General features: G+C 35.7%; 1 protein-coding gene across 11 annotated transcripts in view; it reads left to right on the top strand.

The window, feature by feature from the left end:
• SCAF11 (SR-related CTD associated factor 11) overlaps nucleotides 1-17,184 on the top strand; it is a 72,929-nt gene that overhangs the window by 14,262 nt on the left and 41,483 nt on the right. For 7 of the 11 annotated variants that reach the window (XM_047429883.1, XM_047429880.1, XM_047429878.1 and 4 more), the window contains 2 exons: nucleotides 13,610-13,691; nucleotides 15,941-16,098. In XM_047429883.1, the coding sequence (XP_047285839.1) occupies nucleotides 13,610-13,691; nucleotides 15,941-16,098 (240 nt within the window). Of the gene's footprint in view, nucleotides 1-2,063; nucleotides 3,609-13,609; nucleotides 13,692-15,940; nucleotides 16,099-17,184 lie in introns of those variants that run through there. The other 4 variants (XM_047429881.1, XM_011538984.3, XM_024449275.2 and 1 more) reach the window with 3 other exon arrangements.

The following is a 17,184-nucleotide window of genomic DNA, read 5'->3' as shown; positions in this document are numbered from 1 at the left end:
AAAGCAGAGATAAAACATTCAAACACCCCCTCCCAAGCTCATCTTGTGGCAGTATAATTTGGGTGCCTTCTGTGTTGGCAGTAGTTATAAGAATTGGAACAACTGAAACTATGAAGTTGACAGTGAAAAAGTGCCTTTCCTGAAAATGTTAACAATTTATATTTTAGTTCATAATATTTTCAAAAAATTGCTCTCATGTTAGTCTTTTTAAGAAAGTTTAACTTTTATTATATACAGTAAAATTGAGCTTTTTGAGGTGTATAGTTCTGTGAGTTTTAATACATGTATAGATCTGTATTACCACTACAGTCAAGATTTGCAATGGTTCTATCATCCCACCCCCGCCAAAAACTGTGTTGTCATACATTCCCCTAACCCAGGTAACTGCTAACAAGTTCTTCATCACTATAGGTTTGCATGTAAATGCAATTCTAGAATATGTTGCCTTTTGAGACTGGCTTCTTTCACAAAATAGAATGCCTTTAAGATGCATACAATTTGTTGAATGAAATGCTAGTTCATTCCTTTTTATTGCTGAGCAGTATTTCATTATATGATTGAATGTACCATAGTTTTTGTTTTGATGAGGAGCAGAATATAAATTTGTTCTTTTCATGTACTATTTTTTTTTTGCATGAGGATAATGCTGGATTCATAAAATGATTTGGGAAGTGTTCATCTTCCATTTTCTGGAAGAGATTGTGTTGATTTGGTGTTATTTCTCCTTTAAATATTTCTTAGAATTCACCAGGGAAATTATGTGGGCCTCGAGGTTTCTTTTTTGGAAGGCTTTTAACTACAAATTCAATTTCTTCAAATAGTCCTAAGGCTATTCAGGCTATCTACATCATCAGTCTGGCAAGAGGTTTAAATTTTATTGATCTTTTCAAAGAATGAGCTTTTGGTCTCATTGATTTTTATCTGTTTTTCTGTTTCCAATTTCATTGATTTCTGTTCCTTTATTTTCTTCCTTCTGCCAGTTTTGTATATACTTTGCTCCTTTTTTAGTTTAAGGTGCAAGTTTAAATTACTGATTTGAGACCTTTTCTGATAGAAGAAATTTAATACTATAGTGCTTTTGCTACATCTCACATATTTTAAATATGGATATGTTTGGGTTCAAGTCTATTTTCTGTTTGTTCCCTCTGTTTTTGTTCCTCTGTAACTTCCTTCTTTGGGTTATTTGAACATTTTTTTAGTATTCCATTTTAACTGGCCAACTTGGACTGATTTGAAGGGAACTGGGTATAGTAGTTACCCCTTTTCCATGTGGGATATATTTCAAGTAGATGCCTGAAACTACAGATAGTACCAAACTCTATGTCTATCATGTTTTTTCCTATATGTACATACTCATGATAAAGTTTAACTTATAAATTAGGTGCAGAAAAGATTAACAATAACAAATAATAGAACAATTATAACAATATACTGTAATAAAAGTTATGTGAATGTGGGCTCTCTGAAAATATCTTACTGTACTTTACTCACCCTTCTTGAAATGAAGGTGGAACGACACAAGACGTTGACTAATGTTTTTAGTGGTAGCTCTAAGAATTATACATACTTAAAATTTTAGTCTACTTAGAATTGATATTTTACCACTTGAAGTGAAATAGAGGTCTTACCACCATGTATGTCCCTTTACCTTTCCCCCTTTATGTTGCAGTTATCTTGTGTTAAATGTACACATATAGGCATACCTCTTTTTATTGCAGTTCAGTTTATTGTGTTTTGTAGATACTGCATATTTTACAAATTGAAGATTGTGGCAATTCTGCATCAAGCAGGTTTGCCACCGTTTTTCCAACAACTTGTGTTTACTTCATGTTTCTTTCACATTTTGGTAATTCTCACAGTATTTCAAATATCTTTGTTATTATTATATCTGTTGTGATATGTGATCAGTGATCTTTAGTGTTATTATTGTAATTATTTTGGGGCACCACGAAGAGCGCCCATATAAGACAGGTAACTTATGTTTGCCTGTGTGCTGACTGCTCCACTGACCAGCTGTTCTCTCATCTCTCCCCTTCTCCTTGGACCTCCCTGTTTCTCAACAGTATTGAAATTAGACCAAACAGCCTTGTCACTGATATGAAGAAAGTTTGCCTGATCTGGGTAGAAGGTCAAACCAGTCGTAACATTCTCTTAACTCAAAGCCTAATCCAGAGCGCGTCTCTAACGCTCTTCAAGCCAGTGAAGTCTGAGAGGGATAAGGAAGCTGCAGAAGAAAAGTTTGAAGCTAGCAGAGGTTGGTTCATGAAGTTTAAGGAAAGAAGCCATCTCCATAACATAAAAGTGCAAGGCGAAGCAGCAAGTGGTGATGCGGAAGCTGCATCAGGTTATCCAGAAGACCTAGCTAACATCATTGATGAAAGTGGCTATACTAAACAAAAGATTTTTAATGCAGATGAGCCAGCCTTCTATTGAAAGTAGATGCCATCCAGGACTTTCATAAGTAGAGAGGAGAAGTCAATGCCTGGCTTCAAAGCTTCCAAGGACAGGCTGACTGTCTTGTTAGGGGCTAATGCAGCTGGTGACTATAAATTTATAAACCAGTGCTCACTGACCGTTCTGAAAATTCCAGGACTCTTAAGAATTATACTGAATCTACTCTGTGCTCTATAAATGGAACAACAAAGCTTGGATGACAGCACATCCGTTTACAGCATGGTTTACTGAATATTTTGAGCTCACTGTTGAGACCAAATGCTCAGATAAAAAGATTCCTTTCAACATAGTACTTACTTATTGACAGTGCACGTAGCCATCCAAGAACTCTGATGGAAATACACGGAGATAAATGTTGCCATGCCTGCTAACACAACATCCATTTTTCAACCCAGTGATCAAGAAGTAATTTTGACTGTTAAGTCTTATTCTGTTAGAAATACATTTCATAAGGCTACAGCTGCTTCAGACAGTGATTTCTTGGATGGATATGGGCAAAGTAATGGAAAGGATTCACCATTCTAGATGCCATAAAGAACATTCGTAATTCATAGAAGGAGGTTAAAATATGAACAGGATTGTGAAGAAGTTGATTCCAACCCTCATGGATGACTTTTAGGGATTCAAAACTTGTGTGGAGGAAGTAACTATTACAGGTGTGGTATAAACAGCAGGAGAACTATTATAGAATTAGAAGTGGAGCCTGAAGACATGACTGAATTGCTGCAATTTTATGATAAATTTTGAATGAAGAGTTGTTTCTTAGGGATGAACAAAGAATGTGGTTTCTTGAGATGGAATGTGCTCTTGCTGAAGATGTGAACATTGTTAAAATAGTATATAAACTTAGTTGATAACACAGTGGCAGAGTTTGAGAGGATTAACTCCAATTTTGAAAGACATTCTGCTGTGGATAAAATGCTGTCAAATAGCATCTTGTACACAGAGAAATTTTTTGTGAAAGGAGTGTCAGTGTGGCATACTTGAATGTTATCTCATTTTAAGGAATTGCCACAGCCAACCCTGCCCTTCAGCAACTACCATCCTGTGATTAGTCAGCAACCATCAACATCAAAGCAAGACCCTCCACCATCAAAAAGATTATGACTTGCTGAAGCCTTGCTGAGATGATTGTTAGCATTTTTAGCAATAAGGTATTTTTAAATCAAGTATGTACAGTTTTTAGACATAATGCTGTTGCACACTTCATGGACTACAGTATAATATAAACATATATACTAGGAAACCAAAAATTTTGTGTGACTTGCTTTATTGCAATATTGTTTTATTACTCCGGTCTGGACCTAGACCCATGATGTCTTTGAGGTATATATGCCTGTATTGGAAATCTTATCAGAAAGTGTTATAAATATTTGCTTTAATGCCAAACCTATTTTAAAGAATTCAAGATGAGAATAGTTAACTATGTTTGCTCAGGCATTTACTGTTTCTGTTGATCTTCCATCATTCCTAACATTGTTTTTCTTCTGACACAACTTCATTTAAGAATTTTTTTAGAGCTGGAAAAGAATTCTCATCATTTTTCTTCCACTTTGAATACCTTTTGTTTCACATTCATTCCTGAAGGATATTTTCACTAGATAGAGGATTTTAGGTTTACAGTTCTTTTCCATTTTAGCATTTGAAGGATGTTGTTCCCCTTTCTTCTGACTTGCATGGTTTCTGATAAGAAATCACCGGTGATTCAAATCATTAAACTCCCTCCCCCTCGTAAGTAATGCATCATTGTTTTTTCTGGGTGCTTTCAAGGTTTTCCTTTGTAACTTTCAGTAGCTTGACTCTGATGTGTGTCCAGGCATGGATTTCATTGGGATTATTCTGTCTGAGGTTTTGAGAACTTCTTAAATGTAGCAGTTTATGCCTTTCACCAAATTTCAGGAAGTTTCCACCCATTATTTCTTCTTCTTCTTCTTTTTCTTCTTCTTTCTACTTTCTTTTTTCTTCTTTTCTGCAGTGATTTTCCTTTTCTTGCATTCTTGATGTGAATGTTGGGTTTTTGGTACTGCCTCACAGGTCCCTAAGCCTTTAATATTTTTTTTTCAATGTTTTTCTCTTTGTTTTTTAGGTTGGGTAATTTCTAGTGGTTTATCTTCAAGTTTACTGACTCTTTACTCTTTTATTTCCATTCTTCTGTTGAGTCTATTCAGTGTATTTTTATTTCCGTTTTCACTTTTTGTTGGTTTCCATTTGGTTGTTCTTTATGTCTTCTGTTTGTTTGCTGTGATCTTTTGGCTTTCCATTTGTTTCAAAAGTATTTGCTTATACTTGTTGGGATATATCTATATATCTATATCTATATATCTATATATCTATATATATATCTATATATCTATATCTATATATCTATATATCTATATATATATCTATATATCTATATATATATCTATATATATCTATATATCTATATATATATCTATATATATATATATCTATATATATATCTATATATATATATATCGATATATATATATATACTGGCTTTAAATCTTTGTCTGCTTGTTAGGTAATTCATTTTAGATAATTCACCCAGCTGTATCATCTTGGTGGTGTTTTCTTTTAATTGTCTTTTCCCATGAGAGTGTTATTTTTCCCACCTCTCTCTATGCCAAGTAATTTTGGATTGTGTTCTGTACATTTTGAATATTATGTTACAAAACTTTGTCTTTTGTTTAAATGCTATGGAAAATGTTGATGTTTTTGTTTTTGTTTTTTGGATTTTTTTTTTTTTTTTTTTTTTAAGAGACAGGGTTTTGCTGTCGCATCCAGGCTGAAGTGCATGGCATGATTGTACTTTCCTTCATCCTTCAACTCCTGGGCTCAAGGGATCCTCCTGCCCCAGTCACCTGATTAGCTGGGACTACAGTGACACACCACTATGCTTGGCTACTTTATTTTCTATTTTTTGTAGAGAGAGGATCTCACTTTGTTGCCCAGACTGGTCTCTAACTACTAGCTTTAAGCAGTCCTCCCATCTTGACCTCTTAAAGTGCTGGGATTACATGCTTGAGTCACTGTGCCCAGCCAATATTTTTATTTTTACAGGCAGTTGATCCAGTTGGGTTCAGGTTGGTCACAAGTTCCAATTAGCTTTCTGTAGGTTGTAGTTTTTTAACTTCAGTTCTGTTTTCAAAACTTTACATTACTATTTATACTTTTTCAATATGCGCTACCCAGTAGCCAGTCTGTGACATGTGTGGAGGTTTATCTTATATTTCAGTTTTCAGAGTCGGTGGTATGCTGCTTGGGTTTAAATCCACATACGTTCAGCTTGGGTGAGTTAGGAGTTCAAAAACAGCTGTTACTTTCTTGAGTTCTTTTCTCTCTGTTATATCCATGGTATTTTCTAGATCCCTGGGACAGTCTTTTCTGTCTTTTGGCCAGAAAATTGGTTTTCATTTACTCCATTTTCTGTAACTGTGTCTGGATCCAAGTAACAGGAAGACAGAAGTCAACAAGATTGGCCCAGAGTTTTTTTATTTGGTGAGGATGGTTCATCTCTCTCTTTTCTTAAGAGTTTTAGGTTCCTGCTGCTGCCACTGTTGCACCCACTACCATCACCAGATCATTTGGGAATTGGGACATGAGGAACAGAGAAAGGGGGAAAACAAAAAAAAAGGAGCAGTTTCCCCCTCTCTTTCTGAACATTAGGAAGGAGACACTCCTTACCCCCAGCTCCCCTCCCCCTTACCCACCTCACTTTATATTTAGAGGGATTCTCTTAGAGCTTGCTCTCTGTTGTTACCAGTGCCTACTTTCTAGGTTTCAGGCTTTATTAATCCCAGGCCAGGGGATTCTGGATGGAGAAAAGGTGGTAAACTTACTGACAGTTTGATGATGCATCAGATTCTGGTGTCTTCTCTAGTCCATATGCTATTATTTACTCCTGAGTCTTCATATAGCTGCTCCATTCATTCTGTCAGTATTTTGTAGTTTCATTCAGTGAGATTAACAAGGTGGGATGTGTTTATTCCATCTTACCTGGAACTGGAACTCCTTGATCTCACTTTTGATATATTTTGGAATGTAATGCCAACTTTAATCACCTCATATTCATGTTAAATACAGTTTGAGAATTATATTTTATAATTTTTTTCAACATGTAGGTGACCTTGCTGCATGCAACAGTACAATTTCTGTTAAGGAGATGATGCTACATTAAATGAAGAAGGAAGCAGGAAAATTAATTCTTTTTTTAGAACACTTGATGAACTTTCTAAATAAATGTATTAGCTTTGAAAAACTTGTCCTATTTTCAATTCAGTCTTCATTGTCTGGCTGACGATTTCTGGCTTGCCTTTCACTTTGAAAGTGTTTTATTCTTTATTCATTTTACTCTTTAGAAAATGATTTGTTTCAATAATTAGGTTTTTGATCATTGTAGAGCATAGTGTGAGGTGACATGCATCATTATGGATTATTTTGGCACTCGCTTCCACACTGCACGAGAATTTTAGAGACGTTCTGAAACATATCCTTACTTTCTGGATTGATATAGGAAACTGATTTTATTAAAAGACCTGTAAATGTGGGTGACTTCAGCTTCTTAATTTTCCATTTATCTGGTAAGCACAAGATAATAGGATAATTTGTTCATCAGTGAATGGTGCTTGGTCCTTTTCTTAACATAGGTCCACAGTGGAGGAAGTGAATATGAAAGATTCCTAGAAATTGCTTTTGTTGATCAACTGCTAACAAGCAATCAGGTCACTGATAATCTTCTTAGAAACTGAACTAGAAACTAATTCTGGGGACTGGTATGCCCTTGGCATAAGTGTGCCCAACATAGAGACTGCTTCTACTTTCCCTTTTATTCACCTCTGTCTCTCATTTATCATATCAGTGCTCATCCATAGTAGGGTCTGTCATGGCAGGATTGGGCTTGGGAGTAGGATTGGTAATAGTGTGATATTTCCTCGTGGCCATTTATATCCCTCTTCTTTCTGTGTAACCAGAGAATCTGATTTTACCTTTTTGACAAAATATCACTAGAAGGCTGGGCACAGTGGCACATGCTTGTAATCCCGGCATTTTAGGAGACCAAGGTGGGAAGATTGCTTGAGGTCTGGAATTTGAGACCAGCCTGGGCAACAGAGTGAGACTCCATCTCTACAAATAAAAAAATTAGTTGAGGCCGGGCGCGGTGGCTCATGCCTGTAATCCCAGCACTTTGGGAGGCCAAGGCGGGTGGATCACGAGGTCAGGAGTTCAAGACCAGCCTGGCCAAGATGGTGAAACCCCGTCTCTCCTAAAAATACAAAAATTAGCTGGGCGTGGTGGCGGGCACCTGTAATCCCAGCTACTCAGGAGGCTGAGGCAGAGAATTGCTTGAACTTGGGAAGCGGAGGTTGCGGTGAGCTGAGATGCGCCACTGCACTCCAGCCTGGGCGACAGAGCGAGACTCCGTCTTAAGAAAAAAAAAATGGTTGAATGTGGTGGTGTGCACCTGCAGTCCTAGCTACTTGAGAGGCTGAGGCAGGAGGATTGCTTGAGCCCAGGAATTCAAGGCTGCAGTGAGCTGTAATTGTGCCACCACGCTCCAGCCTGGACGACAGAGCAAGACTGTTTCTCTTAAAACAAACACACACACTCACACTCTAATAGGAGACTTGATCAATTTAGTTGTTATTTAGTAATGTTGATTTATCTTTTTTTAGTCCTTGCATTTGCTTTAGGGAAAACAAAGAAAGTGGCAAGCAACAGTTTTATTACTATTTCCTATTTCTCTGTTGTTTCTGACAATAAGAATAATAATGATCTTGATAACAGCCATTTATTGAATGATGGTAGAGTTAGGATTTGAATCTAGACCTGTTGGATTCTAAAGTTTGTAGTATTAACCAGGATGTAGGTATCTTTAGATACCATGGGCTTACTTGAAGAGAACAGCAAGAGCAAGGAGGGAGAGGGAGTTTTGAAGTGAACTGGAAGGGAAAGGAGCTCTGTTTTGTAACAGCAGAAAGAAACAGACTTTGGAAGAAAAAAAATAGAAGGAAAGAAGGGTAGTAATTTGAAACCAAACCAGACTAGGCTAAAGAATAGTTTACATTATTAGGAACCCTGGCTACTTCTGATTCCCCGCGGCTTGAGGTACCCAGCAACTGTTAAAATGGAATGTACATTCTTAGCATCCCAAATATAACTTGAAACAGGTTTTTAACAGTTGTGCTCTACAGTAGCAGTGCAGCTATTAAATATATTTTTAAATAGCTGTACAGTAGCACATTGGGCTATTTAAATTAACTAAAACTTCACAAAAATTTAAAATTTAGTTTCTCACATGCACTGTCCACACTTGAAGTGCTTGATAGAAGAATTCCCTGTTGGGCAGCACTATTCTAGAGAACCGAAATGACTTAATACAGACCGTTTTTGTTTTTTGCGTTTTTGGGTGTTCTTTAAGATGGAGTCTCGCTCTGTCGCCCAGGCTGGAGTGCCATGGCATGATCTCGGCTCTCTGCAACCTCCACCTCCTGGGTTCAAGCAATTCTCCTGCCTCAGCCTGTAGCTGGGATTACACCACGCCCGGCTAATTTTTTGTATTTTTAGTAGCGACGGGGTTTCACCGTGTTGGTCAGGCTAGTCTCAACCTCCTGACTTCAAGTGGTCCGCCTGCCTCAGCCTCCCAAAGTGCTGGGATTACAGGTGTGAGCCACTGTGCCCTGCGTCACTACCATTATTTGAATGCAGTGTAGTGGCTGGCCTAGGACACTCATTTCCATGTATTCTACTATGGGAAAATGAGTTTTGAGTTCCTAAAAACTGATTTTTATCAGTGCTTTTTTTTTTAAATTTTAAATTCCAAGCTTTAATACCTTCTTATATGATAAATAAAATTTAAAACTTAGACCATTCTTCCCCAATTATTATATGAACATATTTGGAGTATCACTTTCAGTATCTAGCAGAAACAATATGTTATGAAATGGAAAAGAGCAACTGGACGATAGAAGTATGTTAGATCATTATATTAGGGGTCACAGACTAAAAAGATATTTTAGCTTGGAAAGATAAAGCCTAGGAGGAAACATTAAAGATTGACATTTGTAAATTAAAATAATCAGAAAAGCAAAGTTTACTGAAAATCTAGAATTAACATCCATTTAGTAAATGTAGAACCAATAAAAGAAAATACAATTTGACTTATAGATAATTAACTTACAGAACTTAGTAGAACTAATAAGTAGTATAGGTAGAATATAACATGATTATAAAGCCATAAATAGTTAATAACACAAAATTGAGATATATCTAACTTTTCAGGTAACTACAAGGAAGGGTAGTCCTACCTACCCACATCTTACCTCTTAGGGCTATTGACCACAAATTACTGGCTAGGACTATGACTCTGTGTGGTATTACTGTGTTCCTGTCACTGGATATTCAAAGCAAAGCTTTTATTCAAAAATACTTGTGGATCCTTGGATTGAAAACTGGAGTCCAGGCAGATAGAACAGATAAACAGGACAAGTTACAAGTTTATAAGTTGTTGAACTGAGACTTAGGACTTTCATCTAGCAAAATGCTAAGTTCCTGTCATTTTAAATGACTAAATTAGTAACATGGCATAATCATTTTCAGGTATAAAAACAGTTAATAGAGGACATGTTAAGGAATAAAGCATGCAACTTCTAAAACTTTGGAATGCTTAAACAGTTTTTAAAGCAGATTTCTTTCTTTTTGAGATGGAGCCTCACTCTGTTGCCCAGGCTGGAGTGCAGTGGCGCAATCTCGATTCACTGCAACCTCCGCCTCCTGGGTTCAAGCAATTCTCCTGCCTCACCCTCCCTTGTAGCTGGCATTATAGGTGCCTGCTACCACACCCAGCTAATTTTTGTATTTTTAGTAGAGACAAGGTTTCGCCATGTTGGCCAGGCTGGTCTCGAACTCCTGATCTCAGACGCTCCTCCCGCCTCAGCCTCCCAAAGTGCTGGGATTACTTGCGTGAGCCACCGGCACCTGGCCATTAAGGCAGATTTCTAACAAAGGCAGTGTGTAACTTGATTGAGGTTTCTCAGTTTCTCATGTATATTTCACTATATGGGTCTTAAAATAGAGAAGACAGTGCTTACTATAAAATATTAATTGTAGGTTGTTTTTTTTTTAACAGGGTCTTGCTGTGTTGCCCAGGCTGGTCTTGAACTTCTTGGGCTCAAGCGATCCTCCCACCTCGGCCTCCTAAGTAGCTAGGATTATAGGCATATACCAATGCACCCCACTTTAAAATATAAATTATAAATTATATATCAGGTTAGTTTGCTTAAAGGAGGAAATGTGAAAATAGCATAGGTTAGACTATTAAATAGGACAAATAAATCATTGCGTTACATAAAGGGATAATATATTACATCTGAACATCTCTTAGGTTTTTAAAATACTGTGTTAACTTTCAAATGACATTTTATCACATTGAGTTAACTCCAACCTTAATATTTTTTTATTCTCAGATATTTAGGATAATGAAGGAGATAGTATGGTATGAATTTCCCCAAATAAAAAATAATAATATACAGCAGTGCAATATAACTCTGTCCTCATCTACTTTTCTTCTTTCACTGTATTCCAGTCATTCATCTCTTTGTTGTTGTTCCTTGAACATACCAGACATGCCTTAGGACTTTCATATTGGCTATTCTCTCTGCCAAGAATGCTTAGCCTGGAAGCACTGGATGATATTCACATAACTGTCTCCCTTGCTGCTTTCTGATTGCCAGTTCAAATGTCCCTTTATCACAGAAGCTTTCCCTCAGTATTCTGTATGAAACAACAGCTTCCTCTTTTTTTATTCCTTAATAGCCACACTGTTTTTAATTTTTCTCCATAGCACTTCTCAACGTCTAACATACTAGATATTTTACTTACTATTTTGTTTATTTTGTCTTCCCCACTAGAACATAAAGGTAGAGATTTCTGCCTTGTTCAGTACTAAGAGAATTGCCTAGTATACCTATAGTATTCTATAAATCTTGGAGCTAAAAAAAAAAAAATCCCACAAAAGATCACTGGGCCTTTGCTTGAATACTTTCATTGATAGATTATTCTACCTCCCTTCAGAACAGTTCATTTTATTTGAAGATAATTGCTAATGTTCTTAAGCTTTCTGTTCTTCCAAGCTAAACATTCTTACTAGTTTACCTTTCTGCATATGATAGGGTTTCCAGGGCTGTCACCATTTTAGTCATCTTCCCTGGACATTCATCATTATGTTGTTTGTCCTTAAATACCAGAACTAAAACAAGTTAGTTTGCACCAGAACTAAAACTAATGTTGCACACATAGGCTAAGAGTGGGAAATATTCCTCATCCAACTTTTATTGTCAGATTGATTGGATTAAAAAAAGTTTTTAGATTCTAATGCTGATTCATTTTGAGGTTGTATTTGATCTGCTACAACCTTTAAATCATTCTTACATATGCTACTAAGTTTCTTCTGCTTTTATGGTTAGTTTTTGAACTATAAGTCTGGGACTTTGTATTTCTCCTTATTTAACCAAATAGGGAATTTTCCTGGGGAGTTCATACCTTTAATGTAGAAACTACCATGTGTAAATTATTTTAGAAATTAATAGAAAAACCCATTCAGATACATATAGGAGAATCACAACTGATAAAATCAAGGATTTCTTGTGCGTAGATATAAATGCATATTTGGACATTTCATTGCAATTATGTCTTGCATCAGTTCAGGAAGGAATATTAAGAGTTGATTTAAGGCCAGGTGCAGTGGCTTATGCCTGTAATTCCAGCATTTTGGGAGGTGGAGGCAGGAGGATCGCTTGAGCCCAGGAGTTGGAGACCAGCCTGGGAAACACAGCAAGACCCCATCTCTTAGGAAAAAAAGTTGATTAAAATAAAATGTTACTGTATGAATTTCTTGCCTTTGCCATATTAACATCCTTTCCCACTTTTCTCATTTTTACCTTTTTATAAGCACCATTTTCCTAGTCTTTTAGGCCAGGATATTGTCTCCTTCACTGTAGTTGCTCACCAAATCTCAGAATTTCTGCAGCCTTTTAATTCCGTGCTTTTCAAATATACTTCACAGCCAGTTACTTTAGCTATGCAAATATCTCTGCTTATAATCTCCTTCCATTGTAATTCAATCCATACTTGGCTGGCGTATCTATCTTTTTTAAAAAAATTCACTTATATCACTTTTATCTTGTCACTCTTCTTCATAGAATTTGTAAGATTGAATCTAAGGTTCTCAGTCAATCATTAGCGATCCATCTATAATCTAGCCATACTTGATTTACATTGCTCTGCTTATTTCTTATTACCTCTCACTGTGATTTTTCAGATAAAATTCATGGCTTACATGCCAACCCCCTCCTCAGTAGAGACACACACATACACACACACAACTGTCTCCTTAGTAGACACACACACACACACACTTTCACCCACTGTTTTCTCTCACCCGCTCAATTGTGAGATTGGCCTAGCTAAATGTTATTGTATTTCTCCATACTGTGTTGCTCCTTGAATGCCTGAAGTTCCTCAACACATCTAACCTATCACATTCTCTGAAAACTCTATTCCAAATTGATCTCTGTTCCTTAAGCTTCAATTGCATTTATGTCTGTGCCACAAAATATATCATTTAGGCTTTGTTGCTTAATAGTTATAAAAGGCTTTTCCTTTCCGTTTTTTTTTTTTGAGACAGAGTCTCACTGTGTCCCCCAGGCTGGAGTGCAGTGGCGCGATCTGGGCTCACTGCAAGCTTTGCCTCCCAGGTTCACGCCATTCTCCTGCCTCAACCTCCCGAGCAGCTGGGACTACAGGCACCTGCCACCACGCCCGGCTAATTTTTTGTGTTTTTAGTAGAGACAGGGTTTCACCGTGTTAGCCAGGATGGTCTCGATCTCCTGAACTTGTGATCCGCCCGCCTCGGCCTCCCAAAGTGCTGGGATTACAGGCGTGAGCCACCGTGCACGGCCAAGGCTTTTCCGTTCAATAAGACTGTGCATTTTGATAGCAAGGAGTATAAAAGAGTACTGGATTATCCACAAACTGGCTTGGCTCGTACTGTGTTCTTTTATGTGTAAAATAATTTCTTACAGTTTAGGATTTTTTTTTAATTGATATTATTGGGAGAAGGCAAACATAAAATTCTCTATTATAATTTATCTTATAGGAAACCCTTTTCCAAAGAGAAATGAAGAAGAAAACTGTATGTACCCTAAATATGGGAGATAAGAAGTATGAAGACATGGAAGGTAACTTTTCATTTTTATAAAGTTTGTTTGTTGAAAGCAAAACAGTTGTTTCCAAACTGTCCACTTGTATACATTTCAGAATACACAGGAGTTTTTTGTTATTGTTGTTCTTAAATTCCAAAATAAGCTGCCTAAGTATACACATTTTTTTCTTCCCATATCTTATTTTCGACTGATCAAGTTTTTTGATTTGTTAAATTGTTTACTTTTCCCTTTTTTCTTAAAGGTTTACTCTCTACTGGTTTAGGAATTACTGTTTATGTTTTTGTCCCTGTCTTTTTAAAAAAGAAAAAAAGTTAGCGTTGGTACTGTCCTCTGCTTCTAAAGCTAATTTAATTTTCACTACCAACAGAAGAAGAACCCAAGAATGCTTTAACTCTGATCATCCTAATCTCAATGTATAGGTTATAGTTCCATTATTTGAGTTCTTTTATTTCAGACACCACCAGTTAGATGATGTTTTATGCAATGTTTGCTTGAGTTTATTTCCTCTTCATTTATTTTCTTTCTGAAAATAAATCTGAGAAGTTTCTTTAGTGAAGGTCTATTGGTGGTAAACTCTGAATTTTTTTAATCTATTTTATCCACTTTAAAACTATTCAAAGATAGTTTTACTGGGTATATAATTCTGAAATGATAGTTTTTTTTTCTCTTAGCACTTTGAAGATATTACTCATTTTTTTTCCCTTGCTGTCTGGAGATTTCTTCCCAGTCTAATTATCATTCTCTTTTGTAGGTGATCTGTCTTTTCCAATTTTCTGCTTTTAAGGTCTTGGTTTCGTCTTTGATATTTTACAGTTTTACTCCATTGTTTCTAGGCATGGATTATTTTTATTTCTCTTAACAGTATGCATTGTGTTTCCTTTGTTGGTTCATGTGTTTAATCATTTCCCGACCATTACCTCTTTGTTGCCTTTCCTTTATTCTCTTTTGGATTTCAATTAGTATGTTAGACCGTTCTGTAACCTCATTTCTTAACCTGTTTCACAGGCTATGTCTTATATTTCCTTTTCTGTCTCCTAGAGTCTAGCTGGTTTCCTCAGATTTGTCTTCCAATTCACAAGTATTTTTCTTGGATCTAATCTGCTGATTGTCCATTTTATGTGGTATTTGAAACTTCTGATATTTGAAGTTAGTGGATTTCTAAATGTGTTTCCTGCTGCTTCTCACTCAAGACAGCTTATTTTCTTAGGTTTGGTAATGTTTGATTATGAGCTTACATTTGATAAATTAAATCTATGAGGGCCTAATTTAGGTATTCTTTCCTCCAGAGGATTTGTATTTGTTTCTTCCCAGGCCCATGCTGGGACCTCTTTAGCCCCATTTAAAAGTCTTGGCTTGATACTGGAGTCTATCAGGATTAGTTTTCCTTCCTGAAGCGGTTCTAAGGCTTAGTCTCCAGATCTAAACACTGGTTTGGACAGTTGTGCCCAGGACAGTTCCAACTTTGCTTGATATTACTGTTCACATTTCAGCTGACCAATCCTTTATTTCTGTTTTATTTTTATGTTGAATTTCAGAGTATCTATTATTTTCTTATGAGCCAGCGATGCATACTTTTGTATGAGTTGGTTACATTACTGGTGGGAGTTTAAAGTAGTACAAATCCTAAGGAGAATAATTTGTTAATACCTATTCATAATACAAATGTATACACACATTACTCTAGCAGTTCCATTTTTAGGAACTTACACTACAGATATACTTTTAAAAATGTGAAATAACTAAATTTTTATTGCAACATTGTCATAGCCAAAAGTTGAAAACATGTGAATGTCCATCAATAGATTTGAATAAAGAAAAAAGCAGACTAGTGTGTATAGTATTCTTGCATTTGTGTAAAGAAAGGAATGTGGAAGAGTTTGTATTAGCATTTGTTTTTCTGTACATTAAAAATTCCTAGGAAGAACACAAAAGAAATTTAACAGTTGTTACTTATTGGATTGGTTGGAACTGGATGGGGATAAATTTGAATGAGAAATTTGCTCTTAAATTTTTGATCCGTGTGAATATTACTCACTTTAAATTTAATTAATGAAAAGTTTGTTTCAGTCCCCCGTTAAAAAAATTTAAGAAAGTAAATGTTGGGCACGTTGGGCTCAAGCAGTATGTTTGCTATAATTTATCTAAGATCTATTTGCTTTATAGTAGGAGGGTCCTTTAGAGTATCTAATCCACTATACTCCTAGAAACACAAGATTTTTGGTCTGGAGAACTTGAAAGCACATATGGCTGTTTTACTTTAACAGGTGAAGAAAACGGAGATAATACTATTTCCACTGGTCTGTTGTACAGTGAGGCTGACAGATGCCCAATATGTCTTAATTGTCTATTAGAAAAGGAAGTTGGTTTTCCAGAAAGCTGTAATCATGTCTTCTGTATGACTTGTATTCTTAAATGGGCAGAGGTAAGTCTGACACATTAATGTATTTTAATTTCCTAGCATGATTTCATTTCACCTAAAGAGTTGATACTGCCTTTCATAAATTATTTCACAGTAATGTATTTTCTTCCTACTTTGGACAAATTTCCTTGTATTATTCAAATTCTGTCAGTCATTTTCTTCTAATTTTCTTTTATCAGGCTTTGATTTTGCAAATAATATTTTAAATGCATACTTTTTTAAAAAAAGTTAATAACCTTATAGGAAGAACAGATCAAACTTTTTTTCTGGTAGAAATGCAGTAATTAATTTTTCAGTGTACTTGACTCTGTGCTTAATAGGATAATATCTGTTTACCACTAATAACACCTTCTGTCTGCTTTTTGTTTTATATTTTTCAGGGACTTTTCACATAGGTTATTTGATTTCTTCTTTATATCAGCCTTGTGGAATAACCAGAGCAGATACGATAGTGTCCTTCCATTTTACAGATGAGGAAACTTGGATTTTATGTTCTATGACTTGGTCAAGATCTCATAGTTTAAGAGGCAGAAGTGAATTTAGAACTGATTTTCTAATTCCTGTTTTTAATTTAGTGTGGACTAATTTCAGAGTCTGAATTAGAGATATTACCGTCATAGACAGTGAATAAGAAACAAGACATTCGTGACTTTTAATGTATTATGTTGACTCAATTTGGGCCAAATACTTTGAAGTAAATATTAATTTAATATAAGCCTTATTGTTATGAAATGTTAAGTAAAAAATTATTGTTCATATTATGCTATATTTTCTAAGTTAATATTTGTCAGTCTGTAAAAATTAGTAAAGAAGATAATATCTTAAAAATATTTTAACATTAGCTGCATTCCAATTGTTAATGTTCTTAAATATGTTGGAATTAATTGCATATTACATAATTGGGGTTTTCAAAGCGCTATGTTTTGCTTAAATTTTCATTAATAGTGTGGAAAGGAGAATGTAACTGTATAGTGACTCTGGCTGAGTTCTCAAAAGAAGGAAGAGAAGATTTGTTATACAAATTGAATTAATAATAGTATACATATAAACTATTTTAATTTAGTAAAACCTAAACTGGTCTTTAACAAG

Source organism: Homo sapiens, chromosome 12 (assembly GCF_000001405.40).
Source record: "Homo sapiens chromosome 12, GRCh38.p14 Primary Assembly".
Lineage (NCBI taxonomy): Eukaryota > Metazoa > Chordata > Mammalia > Primates > Hominidae > Homo > Homo sapiens.
Note: the sequence above shows the minus strand (reverse complement) of the source record. Positions and strands in the feature narration are given on the sequence as shown.